The sequence below is a fragment of the Homo sapiens genome, chromosome 12 (assembly GCF_000001405.40).
Source record: "Homo sapiens chromosome 12, GRCh38.p14 Primary Assembly".
NCBI classification, from domain to species: Eukaryota; Metazoa; Chordata; class Mammalia; order Primates; family Hominidae; genus Homo; species Homo sapiens.
In genome coordinates this window covers 123258883-123284753 of record NC_000012.12, presented here as the reverse complement: position 1 = coordinate 123284753, position 25871 = coordinate 123258883, and the positions used below count along the sequence as shown (strand labels likewise).

General features: G+C 52.8%; 1 protein-coding gene and 1 pseudogene across 5 annotated transcripts, besides 9 other annotated features; both read left to right on the top strand.

Annotated features, from left to right (window-relative positions):
- On the top strand, positions 1720 to 1838 carry RNA5SP375 (RNA, 5S ribosomal pseudogene 375; annotated as a pseudogene).
- Positions 12514 to 23778, top strand: CDK2AP1 (cyclin dependent kinase 2 associated protein 1). Of its 5 annotated transcripts, none has more exons than NR_073007.2 (4): positions 12514 to 12597; positions 17472 to 17569; positions 19432 to 19558; positions 22951 to 23778. NR_073007.2 is itself a non-coding variant. In NM_004642.4 (4 exons), the coding sequence occupies exons 1-4, from the start codon at positions 13136 to 13138 to the stop codon at positions 23016 to 23018; spliced, it is 348 nt and encodes a 115-aa protein (NP_004633.1). In that variant the 5' UTR covers positions 12898 to 13135; the 3' UTR covers positions 23019 to 23778. The 5 variants fall into 5 exon arrangements, 3 of the variants coding, with proteins under 3 accessions (NP_004633.1, NP_001257362.1, NP_001257363.1); NM_004642.4 differs by lacking the exon at positions 12514 to 12597 and adding an exon at positions 12898 to 13190; NR_073008.2 differs by lacking the exon at positions 12514 to 12597 and adding an exon at positions 13503 to 13867.
- Positions 12531 to 13038: an enhancer, noted in NCBI's record as "H3K27ac hESC enhancer chr12:123756263-123756770 (GRCh37/hg19 assembly coordinates)". NCBI's record gives its function as "activates a minimal SCP1, AML or CMV promoter by ChIP-STARR-seq in naive and primed H9 embryonic stem cells {active_cell/tissue: H9 hESC(naive and primed)}" and the evidence as "EXISTENCE:reporter gene assay evidence [ECO:0000049][PMID:30033119]".
- Positions 12531 to 13078: a biological region, named in NCBI's record as "H3K27ac hESC enhancer GRCh37_chr12:123756263-123756770".
- Positions 12779 to 12988: a silencer, noted in NCBI's record as "silent region_5035". NCBI's record gives its function as "represses an Ori minimal core promoter by ATAC-STARR-seq in GM12878 lymphoblastoid cells {active_cell/tissue: GM12878}" and the evidence as "EXISTENCE:reporter gene assay evidence [ECO:0000049][PMID:35858748]".
- Positions 12999 to 13078: a silencer, noted in NCBI's record as "silent region_5034". NCBI's record gives its function as "represses an Ori minimal core promoter by ATAC-STARR-seq in GM12878 lymphoblastoid cells {active_cell/tissue: GM12878}" and the evidence as "EXISTENCE:reporter gene assay evidence [ECO:0000049][PMID:35858748]".
- Positions 13369 to 13628: a silencer, noted in NCBI's record as "silent region_5033". NCBI's record gives its function as "represses an Ori minimal core promoter by ATAC-STARR-seq in GM12878 lymphoblastoid cells {active_cell/tissue: GM12878}" and the evidence as "EXISTENCE:reporter gene assay evidence [ECO:0000049][PMID:35858748]".
- Positions 14094 to 14842: an enhancer, noted in NCBI's record as "NANOG-H3K27ac-H3K4me1 hESC enhancer chr12:123754459-123755207 (GRCh37/hg19 assembly coordinates)". NCBI's record gives its function as "activates a minimal SCP1, AML or CMV promoter by ChIP-STARR-seq in primed H9 embryonic stem cells {active_cell/tissue: H9 hESC(primed)}" and the evidence as "EXISTENCE:reporter gene assay evidence [ECO:0000049][PMID:30033119]".
- Positions 14939 to 15138: a silencer, noted in NCBI's record as "silent region_5032". NCBI's record gives its function as "represses an Ori minimal core promoter by ATAC-STARR-seq in GM12878 lymphoblastoid cells {active_cell/tissue: GM12878}" and the evidence as "EXISTENCE:reporter gene assay evidence [ECO:0000049][PMID:35858748]".
- Positions 15399 to 15458: an enhancer, noted in NCBI's record as "active region_7258". NCBI's record gives its function as "activates an Ori minimal core promoter by ATAC-STARR-seq in GM12878 lymphoblastoid cells {active_cell/tissue: GM12878}" and the evidence as "EXISTENCE:reporter gene assay evidence [ECO:0000049][PMID:35858748]".
- Positions 19524 to 19716: a silencer, noted in NCBI's record as "fragment chr12:123749585-123749777 (GRCh37/hg19 assembly coordinates)". NCBI's record gives its function as "represses an EF-1alpha promoter that drives an FKBP-Casp9 reporter gene in an ReSE screen in HepG2 liver carcinoma cells {active_cell/tissue: HepG2}" and the evidence as "EXISTENCE:reporter gene assay evidence [ECO:0000049][PMID:32094911]".

The following is a 25871-nucleotide window of genomic DNA, read 5'->3' as shown; positions in this document are numbered from 1 at the left end:
AGCATTAATATTTGCTATCCAACCCTTTATATAAAAGGCTTGCCAGCTCCTGGTCTAAAAACAAGAATAATGGGCCGGGCACGGTGGCTCACGCCTGTAATCCTAGCATTTTGGGAGGGCAAGGCAGGTAGATTGCCTGAGCTCAGGAGTTCAAGACCAGCCTGGGCAACACGGTGAAACCCCATCTCTATTAAAATACAAAAAAATTGGCTGGGCATGGCGGCATGTGCCTGTAATCCCAGCTACTCGGGAGGCTGAGGCAGAAGAATGGGTTGAACCTGGGAGGTGGAGATTGCAGTGAGCCGAGATCATGCCACTGCACTCCAGCCTAGGAGACAGAGCAAGACTTTATCTCAAAAAAAAAAACAAAACAAACAAAAAAAAACAAGAATAGGCCGGGCGCGGTGGCTCACGCCTGTAATCCCAGCACTTTGGAAGGCCGAGGTGGGCGGATCACGAGGTCAGGAGATCAAGACCATCCTGGCTAACACGATGAAACCCTGTCTCTACTGAAAAAATACAAAAATTAGCTGGTGGTGGCACATGCCTGTAATCCCAGCTACTTGGGAGGCTGAGGCAGGAGAATGGCGTGAACCCGGGAGGCGGAGCTCACAGTGAGCCTCGCAAGATTGCGCCACTGCACTCCAGCCTGAGTGACAAAGCGAGACTCCATCTCAAAAAAAAAAAAAAAAAACAAGAATAATGGCAGAAACAAAACTGAAAATTAGGACTGGAAGTGGTGGTTCCCGCCTGTAATCCCAGCACTGTGGGAGGGCAAGGTGGGTGGATTGCTTGAGACCAGGAGTTTGAGACCAGCCTGGGCAACATAGGAAGACCCCATCTCTACAAAAAATAAAAATTAACGGGGCATGGTGGCTTATACCTGTGGTCCCAGCTACTCGGGAGGCTGAGGTGGGAGGATTTTGTGAGCTCGGGAGGTCAAAAAAATAAAAAATAAGTAAATTTGGGAGTAGACCCCTGGTCATAGCCCAAACTGATAGAAGGAATTGTTGTATGTCCCCAGCGCACAAACCATCCTGGAATCAGCAACTGCGATGTCTTAGTCATGATACTTCACCCACCTATTTGTTAGGTTGTGAAATGATGGGTCTGGCCGCCTACGTGACTAGTTTCTTACATCAGTGGTCTTCAAGCCTTTTTGGTCACATACTCCAGATTCAAAAGATTTCTAGGCAGGGTACAGTGGCTCACGCCTGTAATCTCAGAACTTTGGGAGGCCTAGGTGGGAAGATCTCGAGCCCAGGAGTTCAAGACCAGCCTGGGCAACAGGGCAAGACCCCATCCCTACAAAAAATACAAACATTAGTTGGGCGTGGTGGGGCACCCCTGTAGCCCTAGCTACTTGGGAGGCGGGGGTGGGAGGATTTCTTGAGCCCGGGAGGCGGAGGCTGCAGTGAGCCAAGACAGTGCCACTACACTCCAGCCTGGGTGACAGAGCGAAGGACACTGCCTGGAAAAAAAAAAAAAAGTTTCCAGTGCATACCTCCACCTCCAGCACTGCTTATTAATTGACTTGTAAGCTATAGCAGCTGCTGTCCTGATACGTACGCTGTATGTCCCATATAAATAGAAGCTCTAATATTCCCTCCTGTGGGTCACCATTCTCATTACCTGGGGTAGGCACAGTCCTCGTTGGAGCTGATTGCTTCAGAATGTTTTTCAGTGTTGGAATCAGTTCCAGAATAATGTAAGGGCTTTCTCTATGGCCATATTTCCCTGAACGTCCTTGGTCTCAGCTGATCTTGGAAACTAAGCAGTGCGAGGCTTGGTTAGTACTTGGATGGCAGACCACCTCGGGATACTAGGTGCCATAGGCTAGACCTAAATCTTACAATACTGGGGGGAAAAAAAGATATTTTCAAAAAAATAAAGGTTGACCTGGTACGGTAGCTCACGGCTGTAACCCCAGCACTTTGGGAGGCCGAGGCAGGCCGAACACTTGAGGTGAGGAGTTTGAGACCAACTGGCCAACATGGTGAAACCCGTCTCTACTAAAACTACAAAAAAAAAAAAGCCAGGTATGGTGGTGGGCAGCTTTAATCCCAGCTACTCGGGAGGCTGAGGCAGGAGAATCGCTTGAACCCAGGAGGCAGAGGTTGCTGTGAGCTGAGATCGTGCCATTGCACTCCAGCCTGGGCGACAAAGCAAGTCTCCATCTCAAAAAAATAAATAATAAAAATAAAAACATCCTTTCTAGGCTGGTTTTTCGTTTGTTTGTTTGACATGGGGGTCTCATGTGTTGCCCAGGCTGGAGTGCCGTGGCGTGACCTTGGCTAACTGCAACCTCCACCTCCCAGGTTCAAGCGATCCTCCTGCCTCACTCTCTCAAGTAGCTGTGATTACAGGAATGTGCCACCAGGCTCGGCTACTTTTTGTATTTTTGGTAGAGATGAGGTTTCGCTACGTTGCTCAGGCTGGCCTCAAACTCCTGACCTCAAGTGATTTGTGCGCCTTGGCCTCCCAAAGTGCTGAGATTATAGGTGTGAGTCACCGTGCCTGGCCAAGTGCTGGTGTTTTTTGTTAGAGAAAATGGCGTGCGTGTTACCTGTCTTCTTAGGATGTGAAGTGTTGAGAGAATCCTTAGTGATCCATCCTATCAAACCTCCCTGATCTTACAGATGAAACTAAGGCCTGGGGATGTCAAGCGAGTTCTTTGAGGCCTAGAGAAGGGTTTACGGCAGATGTGGAGCTAAAGCTTGTGTCTCCTGATGTTCTTCATACTACACTAATTCCCTGGGCTTTCCTTCTCTCTCCATTTACCTGCTTGCTCCCTGGTAAGCCACTCTGTGAAATATCCATTAAACCAGTAAAGAAACACTCTAAGGCCAGGCACAATGGCTCATGTCCCAGCACTTTGGGAGGCAGAGGCCGGAGGATTGCTTGAGCCCAGGAGTGCAAGACCAGTCTGGGCAACATGGTGAAATCTCACCTCTACTAAAAATACAAAAAGGCCAGGTGCAGTGGCTCACACCTGCAATCCCAGCACTTTGGGAAGCTGAGGCAGGCAGATCACTTGAGGTCAGGAGTTCAAGACCAGCCTGACCAACATGGAGAAACCCTGTCTCTATTAAAAATAAAAAAATTATCTGGGCATGGTGGCACGCACCTGAAGTCCCAGCTACTTGGGAGGCTGAGGCAGGAGAATCGCTTGAACCCGGGAGGCAGAGGTTGCACTAAGCCGAGATCGCCCCACTGCACTCCATCCTGGCGACAGAGCAAGACTCCATCTCAAAAATAAATAAATAAATAAAAATAAAGAAATTACATTGAAAACTATAGAACATTGTTGAAGTTAAAAAAATTAAATAAGACCTAAAATATGGAAGGAGATCCTGTGTTCATGGATTGGAAGACAATATTGCAATTAAAATAGCAATACTCCCAAAATAGATATACAGATTTAATACAAGCTCATCAAAATTCCTATTGTCTTTTTTTTTCTTTTTTCTTTTTTTTTTTTTTTCAGAAAGGGACAAGCTGATCCTAAAACTCATATGGAAATAAATGAAAGTAACCCAAAATAGCCAAAAGCAGTCTTGAAAAAGAAGAACAAAGTTGGAAGACTCATACTTCCCGATTTCAAAACTTACTATAACGCTACAGAAATCAAGGCAGTGTGGTATGGGAATAGGGATAAACAAGGTGAACAGTGGAATAGAATTAAGAGCCTGGAAATAAACCTTCACACTCATCATCAATTGATTTCCAACAATGGCATCAAGACAATTCTGTGAAGGAAAGGAATAGTTATTTATTTATTTGTTTATAATTATTATTTTTTTGAGATGGAGTCTTGCTCTGTCACCCAGGCTGGAGTGCAGTCGCACGATCTCGGCTCACTGCAAGCTCGGTCTCCCGGGTTCACGCCATTCTCCTGCCTCAGCCTCCCGAGCAGCTGGGACTGCAGGCACCCGCCACCACGCCCGGCTAATTTTTTTTTTTTTTTTTTTTTTGTATTTTTAATAGAGACGGGGTTTCACCGTGTTAGCCAGGATGGTCTTGATCTCCTGACCTCGTGATCCGCCCGCCTCGGCCTCCCAAAGTGCTGGGATTACAGGTGTGAGCCACCGTGCCCAGCCGGAAAGGAATAGTTTTTTCAACAAAATGTGCTGAGAGAAGTTCAAGACCAGCCTGGCTAAGATGGTGAAACCCTGTCTCTACTAAAAATACAAAAAAATTAGCCGGGCGTGGTGGCGGGCACCTGTAATCCCAGCTACTCGGGAGGCCGAGGGAGAGAATTGCTTGAACCCAGGAGGCAGAGGTTGCAGTGAGCCGAGATCACGCCACTGCACTCCAGTCTGGGTGACAGAGTGAGACTCCATCTCGAAAAAAAAAAAAAAGTGCTGATATGCACATGTAAAGAATGAATTTGGATCCATCTCACACCATATACAAAAAATAACTAAAAATGCTTTAGGAGGCTGAGGCAGGTGAATCACCTGAGGTCAGGAGTTCAAGACCAGCCTGGCCAACATTGTGAAACCCCATCTCTACAAAAATACAAAAATTAGCCGGGCACGATTGCGGGTGCCTGTAATCCCAGCTACTTGGGAGGCTGAGGTGGGAGAATCACTTGAACCCAGAAGGCAGAGGTTGCAGTGAGCCAAGATCATGCCATTGCACTCCAACCTGGGCAACAGGGCAAGACTCGTTTTAAAAACAGAAATAGAGACCGGGCGTGGTGGCTCATGCCTGTAATCCCAGCACTTTGGGCAGCCAAGGCGGCGGATCACAAGGTCAGGAGATGGAGACCATCCTGGCCAACACGGTGAAACCCTGTCTCTACTAAAAAAAAATACAAAAAATTAGCCGGGCGTGGTGGCGGGCGCCTGTAGTCCCAGCTACTCAGGAGGCTGAGGCAGGAGAATGGCGTGAACTTGGGAGGCAGAGCTTGCAGTGAGCCGAGATCGCGCCACTGCACTCCAGCCTGGGTGACAGAGTGAGACTCTGTCTCAAAAAAAAAAAAAAAAGAAAACAAAACTAGGGGCCTGGCGCAGTGGCTCATGCCTGTAATCCCAGCACTTTGGGAGGCTGGGGCGGGCAGATCACCCAAGGTCGGGAGTTCGAGACCAGCCTGACCAACATGGAGAAATGCCATCTCTACTAAAAATACAAAATTAACCGGGCATGGTGGCACGTGCCTGTAAATCCCAGCTTCTAGGGAGGCTGAGGCAGGAGAATTGCTTGAACCTGGGAGGCAGAGGTTGCGGTGAGCTGCGATCCCACCATTGCACTCCAGCCTGGTCAACAAGAGCGAAACTCCATCTCAAAAACAAAACAAAACAAAAAACAAACACCTAGGCCAGGCGTGGTGGCTCACACCTGTAATACAGCACTTTGGGAGGCTGAGGCGGGCAGATCACAAGGTCAGGAGATCAAAACCATCCTGGCTAACATGGTGAAACCTCGTCTCTACTAAAAATTCAAAAAATTCGCCGAGCGTGGTGGCACGTGCCTGTAGTCCCAGCTACTCGTGAGGCTGAGGCAGGAGAATGGCTTGAACCCTGGAGGTGGAGGTTGCAGTGAGCCAAGATCACACCACTGCACTCCAGCCTGGGCAACAGAGAGATACTCCATCTAAAAAACAAAACAAAACAAAACAAAACAAAACAAAACTCTTCAAATAAAATGGGTGAGGCTGGGTGGGTGGCTCACACCTGTAATCCCAGCATTTTGGGAGCCCGAGGCAGGGGATCACCTGAGGTCAGGAGTTCGAGACCAGCCTGACCAACATGGTGAAACCCCACCCCTACTAAAAATACAAAAATTAGCCAGGTGTGGTGGCGCATGCCTGTAATCCCAGCTACTCGGGAGGCTGAGGCAGGAGAATCACTTCAACCTGGGAGGTGGGGATTGCCATGAGCCGAGATCGTACCACTGCACTCTAGCCTGGGTGACAGAGTGAGACTTGGTCTCAAAAAAAAAAGAGTTCAAGACCAGCCCCCTGTTCCTTAAAAAAAAAAAAAAAAAATTCTGGAGTAATACATTTGTTCAAAAGAAATTTAAAAAAATACAAAAATTAGCCAGTTGTGGTAGCCTATGCCTGTAGTCCAAGCTATTTGAGAGGCTGATGCAGGAGGATTGCTTGAGCCCAAGAGTTCGAGGTTGCAGGGAGCTAGGATCATGTCATTGCACTCCAGCCTGGGTGACAGAGACTCTGTCTCTTAAAAAAAAAAAAAAAAAAAAAAGTGCAGTTTCACTATGGAAAGCAGTTTGGCAGTTCCTCAAAAAGTGAAACAGAGTTATCATTTGACCCACCAACTCCATTTCTGAGTATAAAACCAAAGGAACTGAAAACATGTTCTCACAAAAGCTTGTACACAAATGATGACAGCAGCACTCTTCGTCATAGCCATCATAGCCAAAAAGTACAAATAACTCAAATGTCAATCAACTGATTAATGGATAAACAAAATGGGGTACATTCATACCATGGAATATTCAGCCCTGAAGAGGAAGGAAGTGCTGGAATGCCACCTGCTACAACATGGATGAACCTTGAAACATTATTTATGGCAAGTGGAAGAAGCCAGACACAAAAGGCCACATAGCGTACCATTCTATTTACAGGAAATGTCCTGAATAGGAAATCCAACTAAATTAGTAGTTGCCTAAAGCTGGAGAGAATGAGGAATGAGAAGTGACTACTACCGGGTATGAAGTTTCTTTTTATTTTATTTAATTAATTTTTTTTTTTTTTTGAGACAGGGTCTTGCTCCATCACCCAGGCTGGAGTGCAGTGGCAGGATCTTGGCTCACTGCAACCTCTGCCTCCCAGGTTCAAGCGATTCTCCTGCCTCAGCCTCCCAAGTAACTGGGATTACAGGCACCTGGAATCATGCCCAACTAATTTTTGTGTTTTTAGTAGAGGCTGAGGAGGGTGGATCACTAGGTCAGGAGTTTGAAACCAGCCTGACCAACATGGTGAAACCCTATCTCTACTAAAAATATAAAAATTAGCCGGGCATGGTGGCGGGCTCCTGTAGTCCAGCTACTCGGGAGGCTGAGGCAGGACAATCTCTCGAACCCAGGAGGCGGAGTTTGCAGTGACGCGAAATTGCACCACTGCACTCCAGCCTGGGTGACAGAGCAAGACTTCGTCTCAAATAAATAAATAAATAGGCCAGGCACAGTGGCTCACACCTGTAATCTCAACACTTTGGGAGGCCAAGGCAGGCAGATCGTTTGAGGCGAGGAGTTTGAGACCAGCCTGGCCAATATGGTGAAACCCCATTTCTACTAAAAATACAAAAATTATCTGTGCATGGTGGCGGGCGCCTATAATCCCAGCTACTCAGGAAACTGAGGGATGAGAGTCACTTCAACCCAGAAGGCAAGTGCAGTGAGCTGAGATCATGCCACTGCACTCCAGCCTGGGCGATAGAGCGAAACTCCCTCTAAAAAACAAACATAAATAAATAAATAAATAAAATAAAATAAAAAATAAATAGGCCAGGCGCAGTGGCTCACACCTGTAATCCCAGCACTTTAGGAGGCCGAGGAGTGCGGATCACAAGGTCAGGAGATCGAGAGCATCCTGGCTAACACAGTGAAACCCCGTCTCTACTAAAAATACAAAAAAAATTAGCTGGGTGTGGTGGCGGGCACCTGTAGTCCCAGCTACTCAGGAGGCTGAGGCAGGAGAATGGCGTGAACCTGGGAGGCAGAGCTTACAGTGAGCTGAGATCCTGCCACTGCACTCCAGCCTGGGCGACAGATTGAGACTTTGTCTCTAAATAAATGAATAAATAAATAAATATCAAATGGGGTGGGCCGGGAGCAGTGGCTCACCCCTGTAATCCCAGCATGTTGGGAGGCCAAGGCGGGCGGATCACCTGAGGTCAGGAGTTCGAGACCAGCCTGGCTAACATGGCGAAACCCCATCTCTACCCAAAATAACAAAATTAGCGGAGCGTGGTGGCGGGTGCTTGTAATCCCAGCTACTGGGGAGGCTGAGGAGAATCGCTTGAACCTGGGAGGTGGAGGTTGCAGTGAGACAGGATTGTGCCATTGTACTCCAGCCTGGGCAACAAGAGCGAGACTCCATCTCAAAAATATAAAAATAAAAATAAATAATAAAATAAAACAGGGTGATAATGTTCTAGAATTAGGCCAGGCGCGGTGGCTTACGCCTGTGATCCCAGCACTTTGGGAGGCCGAGTCGGGCGGATCACGAGGTCAGGAGATCAAGACCATCCTGGCTAACATGGTGAAACCCTGCCTCTATAAAAAATACAAAAACAAAAAAAATTAGTTGAGCGTGGTGGCGGGCGCCTGTAGTCCCAGCTACTCAGGAGGCTGAGGCAGGAGAATGGCGTGAACCCAGGAGGCAGAGCTTGCAGTGAGCCGAGATCGCACCACTGCACTCCAGCCTGGGCGACAGAGCAAGACTCCAGCCTGGGAGACACAGTAAGACTCTGTCTCAAAAAAAAAAAAAAAAAAATGTTCTAGAATTAGATAGTGGTGATAGTTGCACAACTGCAAATATGCTAAAAATCACTGAATTATATACTTTTTTGGGGGGTGAGGGGACAGCGTCTCACTATCACCCAGGCTGGAGTGCAATGCCGTGATCTTGGCTCACTGCAGCCTCAACCTCCCCGAGGTTAGGGTGATCCTCCTACCTCAGCCTCCTAAGTAGCTGGGACTACAGGTTAGCCTCCGCTCTCGGCTAATGTCTGTATTTTTAGTAGAGATGTGGTCTTGTTATGTTTCCTAGGCTGGTCTCAAACTCCTGGGCTGAAGAGATCCGCCTTCCTCAACCTCACAAAGTGCTGGGATTACAGGCGCGCACCACCACGGCCCGGCTTTCTTTTTTTGTTTGTTTTTGTATTTTAGTAGAGACGGGGTTTCACCATGTTGGCCAGGATGGTCTTGATCTCCTGACCTTGTGATCCGCCCACCTCGGCCTCCCAAAGTGTTGGGATTACAGGCGTGAGCCACCGCGCCTGGCCGAGTTGTATACTTTTTTTTTTTTTTTTTGAGACGGAGTCTCGCTCTGTCGCCCAGGCTGGAGTGCAGTGGCGCCATCTTGGCTCATTGCAAGCTCCGCCTCCCGGGTTCATGCCGTTCTCCTGCCTCAGCCTCCCGAGTAGCTGGGACTACAGGCGCCCGCCACCACGCCCGGCTAATTTTTTCTATTTTTACTAGAGACGGGGTTTCACTGTGTTAGCCAGGATGGTCTCGATCTCCTGACCTCGTGATCTGCCTGCCTCGGCCTCCCAAAGTGCTGGGATAACAGGCGTGAGCCACCGCGCCCGGCCTCTTAAGTTGCATACTTTTAAAGGATGAATTTTATGCTAAGTGAATAATATCTCGATTAGAATAAAAAACGAAAAGATTTTTTTCTTTTCTTTCTTTTTTCTTTTGAGACACAGTTTTGCTCTATCGCCCAGGCTGGAGCAATGGTGCCATTGTGGGTCAGTGAAACCTCCGCTTTCTGGGCTCCAGTGATCCTTCCACCTCAGCACCCCAGCACCCCAGCCCCTCAGCCCCTCAGCCCCTCAGCCCCTCAGCACCTCAGCACCTCAGCACCTCAGCCCCTCAGCCCCTCAGCACCCCAGCCCCTCAGCACCTCAGCCCCTCAGCACCCCAGCCCCTCAGCACCTCAGCCCCTCAGCACCCCAGCCCCTCAGCACCCCAGCCCCTCAGCACCTCAGCCCCTCAGCACCCCAGCCCCTCAGCCCCTCAGCACCTCAGCCCCTCAGCACCTCAGCCCCTCAGCCCCTCAGCACCTCAGCCTCCAGAGTAGCTGGGACCACGGGCGCGTGTCACTATGCCCCAGCTAATTTTTGTATTTTTAGTAGAGATGGGTTCCTTCTTTCTTTCTTTCTTTCTTTCTTTCCTTTCTTTCTTTCTTTTTCTTTCTTTCTTTCTTTCTTTCTCTTTCTTTCTTTCTTTCTTTCTTTCTTTCTTTCTTTCTTTCTTTCTTTCTTTCTTCTTTTTCTTTCTTTCTTTCCTTCCTTCCTTCCTTCCTTCTTTCTTTTTCTTTCTCTTTCTTTCTCTCTCTCTCTTTCTCTCTTTCTTTCTTTCTTATTTTGAAACGGAGTCTCGCTCTGTCGCCCAGGCTGGAGTGCAGTGGCGCGATCTAGTCTCACTGCAAGCTCCGCCTCCCGGGTTCACGCCATTCTCCTGCCTCAGCCTCCCGAGTAGCTGGGACTACAGGCGCCCGCCACCTTGCCGGGCTAATTTTTTTGTATTTTTAGTAGAGACGGGGTTTCACCGTGTTAGTCAGGATGGTCTCGATCTCCTGACCTCGTGATCCGCCTGCCTCGGCCTCCCAAAGTGCTGGGATTACAGGTGTGAGCCACCGGGCCTGGCGACATGGGTTCTTTCTATGCTGCCCATGCTGGTCTTGAACCCCTGGGCTCAATTGATCTGCCTGCCTTGGTCTTCCATAGTGCTGGGATTACAGAAGTGAGCCATCGTGCCCAGCTGAAACTTTTTTTTTTTCTTTGTGACGGAGTCTCACCGTCACCCGGGTTTGAGTGCAGTGGCTCGATCTTGGCTCACTGCAACCTCCGCCTCGTCGGTTCAAGCAATTCTGCCTCAGCCTCTCGAGTAGCTGGGACTACAGGCACGCACCACCACGCCCGCCTACTTTTTGTAATTTTAGTTAAGATGGGGTTTCACTATGTTGGCCAAGCTAGTCTGGATCTCCTGACCTCAGGTGATCCGCCTGCCTCGCCCTCCCAAAGTGCTGGGATTACAGGCGTGAGCTGAAATTTTTTTTTTCTGAGGTGGAATCTTGCTCTGTCACCCAGGCTGGAGTGCAAGTGGCAGGATCTTGGCTCACTGCAACCTCCTCCCGGTTTCAAGCAATTCTCCTGTCTCAGCCTCCCGAGTAGCTGGGATTACAGGCGCCTGCCACCACGCCCCGCTAATTTTTTCTATTTTTAGTAGAGACGGGTTTTTGCCATGTTGGCCAGGCTAGTCTCGATCTCCCGACCTCGTGATCTGCCCGCCTCGGCCTCCCAAAGTGTTGGGGTTACAGGCGTTAGCCACTGTGCTCGGCCAACAGTTTTAAAATGATGCCATGGACTTAGAGCGAGGAGTGGGGACAATGGAAAAAATACAACGCTATTGGCTGACGCCTGTTATCCCAGTGCTTTGAGATGGAGGTGGAGGCGGGAGGATCACTTGAGCCCAATAGTTCAAGACTACAGTGAGCTACGATCAAGCCACTGCACTCCAGCCTGGGTGACAGAGGGAGACCCCGGTTCTTAAATAACAATATGGAAATAGATCGGTTCAGAGCACTCATAGAAAGGACCGGGCCTGCCACTGAGATCTGGATTCTTGCCCCGAAGAAATGGAGGCCTAGTCAAACAGCCAGTGGGTGGGGGAGTCAGAGTCAGTACCCGGTGTGTCCGTCGCAGGAGCCCTCCGCTAGTAGCTGCAGCCCTGCACTGTTCAATACGGTGACCCCTAGCTATGGTGGCTACTGAGCGCTGAAACGTGGCTAGTCTGAATTAAAATGCGTTGTAAGTATAAAACACACACTGGATTGCGAAGACTTCGTATGATAAGAGAATGTAAAGTGTCTTATTAATAATTCCTTTCAATTCATTATATAGTGAAATCACGCTGTTCTGGAGCTATTGTATTAAATAAAACATGTTAAAATCAATTTCACCAGTGTTTTTTGACTTTCTCAAATGTGACTACTGAAAAATTGAAAATTAGCTATGTGGCTGGCATTCTATTTCCATTGGACTGCGCTGCTCTAAAGGACTGGGCGCCCGGGACCAGCCACATGGGTGGCATTAATTTATTCATGGAATAAGGTTTCACTGAGCATTCTTCGCTAGTGCTGGCCTACAGCTGATCTCAAGGATGGGGGTTAAGCTGGGGAGGGGGTGTCGTCGCCTGCGCCTTTGGTCCTAAAGGAAGAAGCAGGCCTGGGTGGGCATCCCTAGGTGGGTGCCTTTGTCATCAGATCCGGAGATGATGCTTGCACGCCTGTGTCTAATTAAATCTGCAAACCATGACGATTAAAAACAACAGAAAAGGGTGGGCATCTTATGTATTTTAACGAGCTTTACTACTTCGGCAGAACTCCAAGATTAAAAAAAAAAAAAACCCCAAAAAACCCCACAACCTTCAGGTTATTCATCTAATCCAAATCCAAAATACACTGGATGGTTACATTTCAATCGGATCCAAGGATGGGCTGGGGGTGGGGTCGAAGGAGGATCTAAAATTGTCCCGTAAACTCCAGGGGGTAGAAACTTTGCCAAGTTCAATTCTTGTATCCTCAGCGCTTGGAACAGTGAGTGGCGCATAGTAGGTGCTTCCCTTAAATACTGGAGTGAGTCTACGCACGAAATTGTGCGATTCAGGGATGAGTTTTCCGGGGAGGGGGGTGAGGGGTGGAGAAGGCCTCTAAGCTTTTGTCAGTCTCAAAGGAGTCTTGGATCCCCAAAGGGTTAAAAACCACTTCATACAGACAGAGACATGAAATTTATTTGAAATCAATGTCAAGCATCGGTTATTCTAATCCTGGGGCTTGGCCAGACCTGGGCGTCTGGAATGATCTACGTGCTTAAATACACCACTCGCCACCATTTTCTCCAGGTAATTTTCCATCCCTGCCCCCACCATCAAGGGGAAGAAAGTGCTCTTCGGATTCCGGTTCGCCCTGGCCTCCCGCAGCCGCCGCGGGACCGGCCCCCAGCACACCCCCGGGGCGCCGGGCGCGGGGCAGCCGCCCGGACGCGCGCGGGCCTCAGGCGCCGCCGGGACCCCAGCCCCCCAAACTTTGGCAAGTTGCGGGCGCCGAGCGCACCCGGAGGCGCGGGGCGCGGCCGCAGGCGGAGCCGCCCCCTGACGCCGGGCCGCCCCCTCCCGGCCCCGGCCGCCCCGCCGGCTCCGCGGAAAGTTTGCGGCCGCCCCTGCGCCGCACCCGGGGCCTGGGTGAGACTGCGGCGGCGGCAGGGCGCGGACGGCCATATTTGCCGGCGCGGCCCGAGCCGCCGACAACAAAAAGTGCGCGGGCGCTCGGCGGGCGCTCGGACGGGCGCGGGGCTGCAGCGCTACCGCCCGGCCTCGCCGCCGCCGCCGCCGCCCTCGCGGCCTGGCCCCGCCGCGCCCGGCGCGCCCGCCGCCCGGGGGGATGTCTTACAAACCGAACTTGGCCGCGCACATGCCCGCCGCCGCCCTCAACGCCGGTGAGTGAGCCGCGTGCGACGCGCCCCAAGCGCCGCCAAGTTGGGGGTCCGCGCGCCCGGCCCCGGCCCGGGGATGCCCGGGGCGCCCGCGGAGGCCGGGGGCGGGGGGCTCAGGGTCCCGGCCCGGGGCAGCGCTGCCGCCGCCATGATTCCCGAGCCCGCGCCGCGAAAGTTCTCTGGTGCGCCCCGCACGCCGAGGGCCTCGGCTGGGGGTGCGGGGCGGGCGGCCCGGGGTGACCCCCGCGCCGGCGGCTGCGGATCGCAGGGAGCGCGGCGGGCGAGGGCGAGGGCGGGGGAGGCTTGTTCTCGGCTCCTTTTTCCTCCGGCTTCTGGGCGGCTCGGCGAGGGCCCCTGCCGGCGGGAGTCGGGAGCGGCCCGGGCCGCGCCGGGAGCGGGGCGCGGGGCCCCGCCGCCCTGGGGAGCGGGGTCGTGAAGCAGCCCGGGCGGGGGGCGCTGCGGGCAGGGCCAGGACCCGCGCGGGCGGGCGCGGATGGAGGGCTGCGGGGCTGCGGGGCTGCGGGGCTGCCGGGCTGCCGGGGGCCCTGAGGTCGCGGGGCCGCCGGGACTGGGACCAGGATGGGGTCGCCGGCGGGCAGCGTACTCGGAGGCCCGGGGGCCTCGGCCGGGAGCGTGGGAGCAGGGGCTACCCCATGCGGTCACGCGGGGACCCCCGTAAGGTGAGCGCGGAGTGAACGAAGTTGGCGCAGCTCTGGGGCTGCTGGGGCCCGCGCGCGGGCGTGGGGGCAGTGGGTCACGTGGACGCCCCATCTGGGAGCCCCCAAGGGCTGGCCCTGGAAGGCCCTCGATGCAGAAGCCGGGAGGGGCTCCCCTCAAGCTTCCTGGGGCTGCGGCCGCAGCCGGGCGCTCCCAGGAAACTCCTCCAGAAGTTGTCAGGCAGCTTCGGGCTGAGCCCAGGGGACCGAGGGAGCCATGGGGAGTGGGCACAACATTGAGGGATTCGTAGGTGCCGGGCTTTGTGACCTCACTGGGGCCCTTCTTCTCTGACACTTGGTCGGAAACAGACTTCCCAAAAGGCGGTTGTGTTGCGGGGCGGGATGGGGGGAAGGACTCGACGGGGAGAGGAGTGGCCCCGTTGGTCACCGGTGCCACGCTGGCTCTCCTGCTCGAGTTTTGGGCCTTGTTTGCAAACGTTGACCTCGTAACCCCCCAAATCGGAAGTGGGACCCATAAAAACGATACCTAAAAAAAATCTTGGACACTGAGGTGTAGGGGCAGGAAAGGGTTAAGCGTCAGGGTGCGGAGGGAGAGTTGAATTGCTCACTTGTGGGCTCGGAGTCCCAAAGAGCAAACAGCCACTGTTTTTTTCTCAAACATTCTCACCTCCTCTGGGGTCCGCAGACCTTACAAAGACGGGCTTTGTTGCCAGGTAGGACTGCCAGCAGCCTTCTTCCTCTGGCCTGTGGGGAGGGCAGGGGCTGGTGTTGCCAGCCTGGGCAAGGCTGAGCTCAGGCTTACCCTGGTGTCATTGGGGCCGGGGCCCTAAACTGGGACCCTCGGGGTTTGGGGTCACAGGGACAGCGGCACTCACGGGGACCCCTGAAGTCCTGTTCTGGGCTGGCTGGACCTGTACTCAGCTTTTCTTCTTTGTCCTGTGGAGAATTCCAGGAGTGCCGAGATCCCCAGATCTGGGCTTTTTGGTGCCCCTCCCAACCCCCCACGGGCCCCTTTGCAGAACCCCAGCTCCCCTCCTGCCATTTGCATCCAAGATGGACTCTCCGCTGCCGCCGCTGCTCCTCCGGCTTCCTTGTCATCATCCCTCACGCCCTGCAGCCCTGCCTCCTGTTCACGGGTTGCCAAGCCGCGGCCTGGCCGGTGGTGGCAGTGGCGGAGTTAGACAAAGCCCCCGCCTCCCCCGCCCCAGAGCCCCCCAGGCGCCCCAAGTGGCGGGAAGGCCGCCAGCTCCCCAGGCCCCGCGCTCTTTGTCTGGCGTGGGGGTGGGGAGCCGCGCCTGGCCCCAGGAGCTTCCTGGCCTCTGCCAACCCCTCGCTCCTGCACACTGCGCTCATTGTCTGAGATGCGCCGAGACGGCCTTCGCTGACGTGGTCCCTGTGTCCTGGTCCCTGTGTCTGCAGGAAGGAGTGACCAGGAGTGGAACTCGGAGCCCTTCCGCCATCTCTCTCCAGGACTAGACACCCCCCCGCCCCCGAACAAGGGAGTGGCCTGGACAGAGCACTGGGGTCACCGAGCTATTGCTCCTCGTCCCCCAGCCAAAATGGGACGATTTCTCCTTCCTCCTCCCTCTCAGCCCTGCAAAACCTAACCCCAGTATCATCAAATAGTAGGAACTGGAGCCCATAGACCTTCTCTTGGGAAGCACTGCCTCTAACAAATGGAGAAACTGAGGACTGGAGGGCGGGGAGCCTGTCTGAGGTCACACAGCCAGGAGTGGCACAGCTGGGGCTGGCACGAAGTCCAGTGGGGAGGACAGAAAAGGGGAGGTGAGGAGCAGTGGGCAGAGCAGTTGGGGAAGAGGACGGGGGCACACCGAGGGAATGCGAGGGTGCGTGGGAAGTGGCCAGCACCCCTCCTGCCAGGGCGCTGGGATCTTGCAAACGCCTGGGGTGCTGTGCGCGATGCTACCCCCAGCGACTGGCCCTGGAGCCAGAGAGGTGTAGTGACCAGGATCAGAACCCAGGTCTGTGCCGGCAGAGCCTGTGTTCGCCATGCCATGCTTGCTGCCACATCAGAAGCTCAGGAAACTGGGGTTTGGCTGATGTAGTTAGGGGGCTCTGGGGGACATCACCCTGCCCAATTCCTGCAGTGGCCATGGACGTGCCAGATATCGTGGGCGTTGTGCGTCCCCCTCCCAAGCAACCCGCCCCTATAGCGCACGTGTCTCATCATCCGCATGTGTCTCATCATCCCCACGTGGGAGGCGTGGAAACTGAGGCTCGGAGTGGCACGGTGCTCTGCCCAGTTCAGGATCCAAGTCCACGTTTGCAGTTCCAGCCCAAGCTGGAGCATAACCCTGGGCTGCAGTGGCAGCATCCAGGGCTGGCCTGAGACTCAGGAGACAGCTCGGAACGGTCCCCGTTCTCGGAGAGAGGGGCAGGTGCCGGGGTAGCTGGCTCCCTGCTTTGGTCTCCTCTATGCTGTGTGCCCTGGGGCCACCCCTTCAGGTCCATTTCTCTAAATCGAGGGGCCTGGAGCCAGGGTTCTCCAGTGCTCCTCCCGGCTCCCCCAGCTTGAGGCCCTGAACTTCCTTCCTCCTCTGCCCCTCCCCTCACCCACACCAAGCGAGCAGCTGGTGGGTTTGGCCAGCCTGGCACCAGCTGTCTGTCCCCGAGGCCAAGTCTGCGGCGCCCACTGTGTGTGTGAGAGAGAGACCGTGTGGCTCTGGGGGCGGCAGGCGGGCAGCTGCCGAGGAGGACTAGGTAAATTCTCCATGGTTACCGCTGTTTGTCATTCTGCAGGATATCCTTTACCCGCTAATGGCCACTGGGACGCCATTGCGGGGCCGCGTGCTCCTAGCCACGGACTCCCCTGCCAGATCCAGGAGGCTGCGTTCTGGGCTGGGCCCTGCTTGGTCACTGACTGCAGCTCTGGACAGGCCCCAATGTTGCATCCCATATGTGGGGCCTCAACCCTCCTGTCTTGGGATACAGAGCCCTTGGGGCATAGACTGCTAAGAGTCTGGTCCCCTCTTTGGGGAGGGGGAGACAGGCACAGAGGGGTTGAGGGGCTTTATCTGGGGCACACAGAGGCCATGGTGTTCTCTAGATTTCTGATTTGATGTCCAGCGTGCCTGTCTCCAGCCAGGGTTGGGTCTCAAATACTCCAAGGCCTTCCTGTCTTCCCTGTCATTGAGCACAGCAGAGATTTGAGCGCATAGAAGCAAAAAGGCTTGGAAGCTCAGCCTGGTTTCGACCAGCCTATGTGGCGCTGTGGTGTGATGTGGCCTCTAGGTTCTCAGCCTCTGGGGACCAGGACACAGGGAGAGGGGATGGGCAGAGTTCAGGCCAGGAGTGGCAATAATTTTATCTTTGGGAGCAGCCCTGCTGCTTGGAAGGTTCTGGTTGGATGGGATGGAGCTCTGTGAGGACCAGCGGCTGCTGCAGAGCTGGGGATGGTCAGGTGCCTTGTAGCTACATTTCATTATCCATCTTATATGCTGGTCAAACCGGAGGTGGAGAGCAGGGTTCTCCATCCTGCTACAGTTGGTGGTGTGGGTCCTGGGCAAGGGCTGTTGCAGGACCCGGAGTCCTTGCCTTGGTACAACTGGCTGAGCTGACTCCTGGCCTCTCTCTCCCCACCCCACAGCTGGGAGTGTCCACTCGCCTTCCACCAGCATGGCAACGTCTTCACAGTACCGCCAGCTGCTCAGTGACTACGGGCCACCGTCCCTAGGCTACACCCAGGTATGTCAATGGGGGTGATGGCATGGTGGGAGGGCCAGGGGGAGACATGCTTCCCACCATCAGAGGAGAGAAGTTGGTGGAAGAGACGAAGGAGCAGAAAGGATGGGACGGAGCTTTCTCAGCCCAAGGCCCTGGCTGCGCTCCTGCTCAGAACACATCAGAGTGGAGGGCACTGGGGACTGTGCTTCGCGGGGACGTGTGAGGTGGAGGGGACAGGAGAGCACCAGGAAGGGGCAGCAGCCCAAGCTGTGCTGAGGCTCCCACCCCACGCGTTCCTCCAGTGGGCCTCCTCACTCCTCTTTCTTGGGCAAGTGAGGCCTGACCTTGATGCTGGCTCTCCAAGCTGGGACAGAAGATAGGGTCAGTTCCCACTTGCTCTCCACGGGCGCGGGCCCAGCAGAGAGGAGGTGGCCCTGTCTTGAGAGCCCAGCTGCCTTTTGTCGAGGGCCAGTATTTGAGAGTGTGGCCTGGGCGAGGCCGCTCCCTGGTTCCACCACTTTCCAGACTGTGACCCCCCACTTGGTAACTGCCCAAGACCCGGGCTCCTCATCAGCCCAAGGGTGATCCTAGTACCCCCAGCCCAGGCTGGCGAACAGCAGGAATGGGGCCGCCACCATCTCAGCTGCACCCTACATCTCCAAGGGATGAGCCGCCCCGGGGAAGGTCCCAGCGGGAAGATGCTCTCCCTGGCTGGGCCCCAGCACCAGTGTTCTGAGGTCGCTATGGAGCCTGTTCCTCGCCAAGTGGGCGGCTCCCCGGCCATGCCCCACCAGGCTGCCCTGCCCCAGGAGGAGAAGCAGGTGTGGGCCTGTGAGCGGGACCGGCTGAAGAAGCGGTGGCTGTGGGAGGCCAGGCAGAGGGGCAGCCGGGAGTTGGCAGTGCCACGTTCTGGCCATGCGACGGCGGCGCCAGGACAGGCGGGAGGCCCGTGAGGCCTGGAGGCAGTGCCGTGGGGAGGCAGAGCAGCCGGAGCAGGACGAGGACAGGACAGAGCGCGAGGCCAGGGGACAGAGGCGGTGGTGGAGGAGGGGGGAGGCAAGGACCTCGCCCAGGGAGCTGGCGTGTCTATGGGAGGAGGTGGCCAAGGGGAGGTAGCCTGGGCTTGTGGGCTTGCGGGCTTGTGGGCTTGCCGGAAGCCCAGCCTCGCTGATCCGGGTGCTTGCTGTGGGGCTCCCAGTGGTGGTGGGAGGAAAGGTTTTCTGGGGGTTGGGCCCTGTTGGTGGGAGGATGAGAGAAGGGAATGCATTCCAGGCTCTGGCTGGGCCATGGCGGATCGCTGTGGTCCTGGTGGCCCAGGTGTGGCCTCTTGTCTCCCCACTGGCTTGGAGGCTTGGCACCTGGGATGTGCCCTCCCATCCATCTGCATCCTGGGAAATGCTGTTTGGACTCTTTTGTGCCAAAATGAGCTGTTTCCCCTGTTTTGTTCATTGGAGATAATAAAGTTGCTTCCTGGAGACGACTGGGTGGCCTCCCTGAGTGTGTGAGGATAGGAGGGTGAGGACCATCTCCCTAACTTGTAGTTGTCCCCTAGAATGGGACGTGCCTTGGCCCAGCTGAGGTGGCTGCCCCAGAAGTCTGAGGCTGGGCTGCGTTCCCTATCCTGACCGGCCCGGGGCCCTCTCCACCCACCTGCCTGTGGCCTTGGGGTCAGGCTGCTGAACCCTTTTTTTTTTTTTTCCCCCGAGATGGAGTCTCGCTCTGTTGCCCAGGCTGGAGTGCAGTGGAGTGATCTTGGCTCACTGCAACTTCCACCTCCTGGGTCCAAGCAGTTCTCCTGCCTCAGCCTCCTGAGTAACTGGGACTACAGGCACGCACCACCACGCCCGGCTGATTTTGCTGAACCCATTTCTTTCTGATTCTAGGGAACTGGGAACAGCCAGGTGCCCCAAAGCAAATACGCGGAGCTGCTGGCCATCATTGAAGAGCTGGGGAAGGAGATCAGACCCACGTACGCAGGGAGCAAGAGTGCCATGGAGAGGCTGAAGCGCGGTAAGCCCGGCCCCGCTGCCCTGTCGGTGACCACAGTGCTAGACCTTTAACTCTGGAAAGACTTTTGGGGAAAATGTGGGAAGGTGGGCTAGGGATGAGGCTCACTCATGGGAGCTCCTGTCTTGTTACAGAGTTGCCGTCTGTGGTGGAGGCCTCAGGCAGGCGATGGGTCTGGTAGCGAGGGGCCTGGGGGGCTGGATGTCTTCAGAGGGGTCTTCTGGGAAGGGCAGCCCAGGCAGGGAGCCCTTCTTACCCTGTGTGCTGCCAGGGGGTCTGCTGGCTTTCAAGGGTGTGTTCGAAGTGCCCCCTGCCCCCGACCCTGCCTGGTCTGCTCCTGTGGGCCGACACTGGTCCTAGGGAAGCCAAGCTCAGGGTTCATCGGTGCCTGCACTGCCCTCTGCTGTCACCTCTTTGGAGGGAGACCCAAGGAAGTGTGTGGGTCTGTGCTAGGGTCTGGGGAGGGAGGCTGAGAGCACTTTGTTCTTTAATGGTTGGAGAGGGAGGGCAGGCAGGAGATGACAGAGCACAAGGGACTCGTGTTAAGGTGTGACTGTCCGTCTGATTTCGAAAGGACGTTAAATAGGTTGCTACCTTCTGAAATAAAAGGGGAGTGGAGGTAGGACAGGATTTCTATTTTAGAAGGCGACAGTGCAGCAGAGCCATAGCCCATGAACGCATTCAAGATGAGGGGAGACTTGGGGCTCTTTTTTTTTTTTTTTTTTTTTTTTTTTTTGGGAGACGGAGTTTTACTCTTGTTGCCCAGGCTGGAGTGCAGTGGTGCAATCTCGGCTCACCGCAACCTCCGCCTCCTGGGTTCAAGCGATTCTCCTGCCTCAGCCTCCCAAGTAGCTGGGATTACAGGCATGTGCCACCACACCTGTCTAATTTTTTGTATTTTTAGTAGAGACAGGGTTTCTCCAAGTTGGTCAGCCTGGTCTTGAACTCCCAACCTCAGGTGATCCACCTGCCTTGGCCTCCCAAAGTGCTGGCATTACAGGCGTGAGCCACCACGCCCGGCCTGGGACTTGGGGTTCTTAAAAAGGCTGGAGAAGCAACCTGGGAGAGGAACATTCTTTTTTTTTTTTTTGAGATGGAGTCTAGCTCTGTCACCTGGGCTGGAGTGCAGTGGCACGATCTCGGCCCACTGCAACCTCCGCCTCCCGGGTTCAAACAATTTTCCTGCCTCAAGCCTCCCGAGTAGTTGGGACTACAGGCGTGCGCCACTATACCCAGCTAATTTTTGTATTTTTAGTAGAGACCAGGTTTCGCCATGTTGGTTGGCCAGGATGGTTTCGATTTCTTGACCTTGTGATCCTCCCGCCTTGGCCTCCCAAAGTGCTGGGATTACAGGCGTTGAGCCACCGTGCCCGGCCTGGGAGAGGAACTTTCTTTGGTTGTAAATCTGTAGCATAAATGGGGGCTGTAGTTGAAGTTATGCCCCAGTGACACGAGGGCCAGTTGAGGACAGGCTGCTGCCAGGAGCGGGGTTGCTCTGGAGTTTATGAAACCTTTGTGAAGAGGTTGACGGGTCTCAAAGCTAGGTTGGGACTACCAGGGTTAGAGGATGTGATTGAAGAGGGCCTGGGGGAAGGGATGCAGAGCCCAACCCTGGTCTCGCCTGGAGAGTTGGGTGGTCCCAGGGCTGCTCTCCGGTAGCTGGGGTGCTGCTTACCTGAATGGAAATTCCTGGGAAGATGCTGGGTCCCAGAGTCCAACAGGTAATTTGCAGTCACCCAGAAAAGGCACTGGTTCAAGTCAGCAAATGCGTACAAACTGCCAGTCTTTTAGTAACAAGGAAGACCTAGTGCTACCCCTTGGCCAACAGCCAAGCCCAAGCTTACCAAGCTCATGTCACAGCAGGGTGAAAACACGTCATAGAGGGGTCAGGGAGTTAGGAGCTAGGAGCATTGTAGGTAGGTTGGCAACTACAGCCCAAGAGCCAGGAGCCAAGAATAGTGGTTTTTTTTTGTTTTTTTTTTTTTTTTGAGACAGAGTCTCGCTCTATCACCCAGGCTGGAGTGCAGTGGCGCGATCTCGGCTCACTGCAACCTCCGCCTCCCGGGTTCAAGCAGTTCTGCCTCAGCCTCCCGAGTAGCTGGGATTATAGGCGCCCACCACCACGCCCATCTAATTTTTGTATTTTTAGTAGAGATGGGGTTGTACCATGTTGGCCAGGCTGGTCTCAAACTCCTGACCTCAAGTGGGCAACCCGCCCCGGCCTCCGAAAGTGCTGGGATTACAGGTGTGAGCCACCGCGACAGGCATGGTTCTTAATGGTTGAAAAAAAAAATGATTTTGGGACGTGTGAAAGTTATCTGAAATTCAGACTTAAGTGTTCATAAATAAAGGTTTGTGGGTCCAGGTGTGATGGTGCATGCCTGTAATCCAGCAGTTTGGGAGGCTAAAGCCAGGAGCAACATAGTGAAACTCCCATCTCTACAAATAATGATAAAACAGCCAGGCATGGTGGTGCGTGCCTATAGTCCCAGCTTCTCCGGAGGCTGAGGTGGGAGGATCACCTGATCCTGGCAGGTTGAGGCTGCAGTGAGCTGTGATCGTGCCACTGCACTCCAGCCTGGGTGACAGGGCAAGATGCTGTCTCAAAAAAAATTTGAGTGAAGTAGTTGTGTCAGAGACTGTAGCCTGCAAAGCTCAAAATATTTGCTGTCTGGTCCTCACAGAAAACATTCTCCAAGGCTCTGAGTTAGTTTCTAAGATTTGTGAGGTGATGATGTGGGATGTCATTCCCAGTGGCCTCTGGGAGTCATGTATTAGAAGGAATAGAATCCTTAGTGTCTATTAAAAGATCATATTTCATGAAGTTCAGTAGAGGCAGAAAGAAAAAAAAGGTAAGCACCAAACCACAGAGACAAAAGACTGGGGAAGATTCATCGGGCAGAAGGTAGCTGCAGTCTTGTGGGGTTGTCCCCGTGGACCCAGGGTCCCGCGTGGGTAGTAGTCAGTTCTCTGCGCCCTCACGTGTGCAGCTGAAGCCATTCTCTTGCTTACTTACGCCGGTCAAGCCCTGTCTAGAATTCAGACTGAAGAAGCCAGAGAAAAATCTCCATAGTGGGTCAAGCAAAAGAATTTGGGTGGAGACATGTCTTTCATCCAACAGTGTCGTGGAAGGACAGCTTGCTGGTGCACCTTGAATGCAGGAAAAAATGTTTAGAGAGACAGGAAGAGTTGTGGTGAGGAGGGAAGGGCTTTAGAGAGGGATGGGATTGTTAGCGTCCTTCAGGGTTGCTTGGTTATAGGTTTCCCTGGTTCTCTTTATGTCTGAGGGTTTTGTGGACAGGCTGTGGAAGGATGGATCCTCTTGCTGTTTCAGAATGGGCTTTGCTGGCTGGTCCTGTGCACTTGCTGACCTCAGGTCTCTGCCTCTGTTTCAGGCATCATTCACGCTAGAGGACTGGTTCGGGAGTGCTTGGCAGAAACGGAACGGAATGCCAGATCCTAGCTGCCTTGTTGGTTTTGAAGGATTTCCATCTTTTTACAAGATGAGAAGTTACAGTTCATCTCCCCTGTTCAGATGAAACCCTTGTTTTCAAAATGGTTACAGTTTCGTTTTTCCTCCCATGGTTCACTTGGCTCTGAACCTACAGTCTCAAAGATTGAGAAAAGATTTTGCAGTTAATTAGGATTTGCATTTTAAGTAGTTAGGAACTGCCCAGGTTTTTTTTGTTTTTTAAGCATTGATTTAAAAGATGCACGGAAAGTTATCTTACAGCAAACTGTAGTTTGCCTCCAAGACACCATTGTCTCCCTTTAATCTTCTCTTTTGTATACATTTGTTACCCATGGTGTTCTTTGTTCCTTTTCATAAGCTAATACCACTGTAGGGATTTTGTTTTGAACGCATATTGACAGCACGCTTTACTTAGTAGCCGGTTCCCATTTGCCATACAATGTAGGTTCTGCTTAATGTAACTTCTTTTTTGCTTAAGCATTTGCATGACTATTAGTGCTTCAAAGTCAATTTTTAAAAATGCACAAGTTATAAATACAGAAGAAAGAGCAACCCACCAAACCTAACAAGGACCCCCGAACACTTTCATACTAAGACTGTAAGTAGATCTCAGTTCTGCGTTTATTGTAAGTTGATAAAAACATCTGGAAGAAAATGACTAAAACTGTTTGCATCTTTGTATGTATTTATTACTTGATGTAATAAAGCTTATTTTCATTAACAATTTGTATTAAAATGTGGGTTCCTTGAATTCTTACGTGCTGTTTTATTTTTTTGAGACAGGGTCTTGTTTTGCCACCCAGGCTGGAGTGCAGTAATATAATCTTGGCTCACCGCAGCCTCAACCTCCTGGGCTCAAGCAATCCTCCCATCTCAGCCTCCCTAGTGGCTGGAACTACAGGTGTGTGCCACTATGCCTGAATAATTTTTAAAAGACTTTTTGTATTGAATGAATGGGTGTGTGATGGAAAAAAAATTTTTTTTGCAGAGATGAGGTCTCACTATGTTGCCTAGGCTGGATCCTGGGCTCAAGTGATCCTTCCACCTTAGCCTCTCAAAGTACTGGGATTATAGGTGTGAGCTACCACGCCTGGTGTAAAGAAGTGCTATTTTAAATAATCTCTCATGAAAGTGTTTGAAATGCTTGTTCCCCGGTGCCGTGAAGAAATAGCACTTGAACATAAATTTAATTTACTCAGCAAGGCCATTTTTACTTCCCGCAGAAAGGGTACATTCGCCAGCAGTTTTGCCACGAGAGTACACCGAACAAAGAGACAGGGTCATTTGTAACCTGATGCGTCCACCCTACTGCTGTGTCCGGTTTCCATTGGCTGGAACGGGACCTCATATTCTGTATTTGTCCTGATTGGGAAGCAACTTAAAACTTTTTAAAAGAGGCGAAGGCAGAAGAGAACAAAGGAAGGAGAAAGTAACTTGTGGAATGGTGAGAAAGGTAAACACTTTTAAATAAGGAAGAGGAACAGGCTATGACCTAATGCTTGCTCCGACCAGTGTAAGCATGCCAGGACAAATATTTAGGCTAAATTGTGGGAGCTAAGAACATAAAGTACATTGATTTCTTTACCACGGCTAGCAGATAATTAGGAATGTTAGCACAGGTCTTTGAATAAATTTTGCTTCGAAGAGAAGTTACCGTTTATTCCAAATTAAATGGGGAGGAAAGTCTTTGGAGAGGAACCTCTACTTTACCTTTTACAAGAGGTAGGAGATGCCTGTTCAAACTGTATTTTCCCATCTGACACGGAAACATTTTGGTGATATCATTAGCACAGTTGGCTGGGGAAAGAATGTGTTTGCTAAGTCAGAGGTAGGGATAAAGTGAAGTTGCATTATGGGTGTATTTTAAGTGCAGCAAACTTAAGTGTATGCTAGGAAAAAAAAATAGCAGCAGCAGTTTTTAAAAAAAAAATTTTTTTTTTTTTAGATGGAATCTCCCTCTGTTGCCTAGGCTAGAGTGCAGTGGCTTGATGTTGGTTCACTGCAATCTCTGCCTCCCAGGTTCAAGCGATTTTCCCAGCTTAGCCTCCCGAGTAGCTGGATTACAGGAGCGTGCCACCACACCCAGCTAATTTTTGTATTTTTAGTAGAGATGGGATTTTACCATGTTGGTCAGGCTGGTCTCCAACTTCTGACCTCAGGTGACCCAGCCGCCTTGGCCTCCCAAAGTGCTGGGTTTACAGGCGTGAGCCACCACGCCCGGCCAGAAGCAGTATTATTGAGTTGGCCTGTTACCCCATGGTTAGGCCATTCTCAGTTCGTAGGTGCTTATCCTGTGGGCTTTTGGTGGGTGCTACAGGAATCTTTTTCATAAAGTACGGCTCCTAACTTCAAGCTACTTCATATGGTGCTCACTGGAAGAATTATCTGCTCTGGTGCCAGGGAAAAAATGGGCTGCACTGGATGTGTTGAGAGTCCACGTGGTGGTCTCTGACAGTGCCTCCCAAAGGGATTTTAATTCTTACTCTATACCTTAGGCCCTAAATACCTGCAATGAGAATTTGCTTTGCTGAGCAGTAGACAAAGACAAATGAGAGAGACTTGTCTTTCTTTGATGCAGGCATGAGGCGAATTCTCAGCCATGACAAGGCTGAAGGCCAGCAGGAACAGGCTCTAGCGAAATGGGTGCTGTGTCCCCTTCCTGCATGTGGCAGAAAGTTGCAAAGGTATGAGAGAGGAGACAAACGGAAACCATTCTCCCTTATCTCCAGCTCCAAATTTCCCCTCCCACTCTTACTGGTTTCTTAGGTGTTGTTCTAGAGCCTTTATTTTCTACAGGGCGTTTGGGCTGGGGAAGGGTCCTGTACACTCGCAACAGGAGGTGTA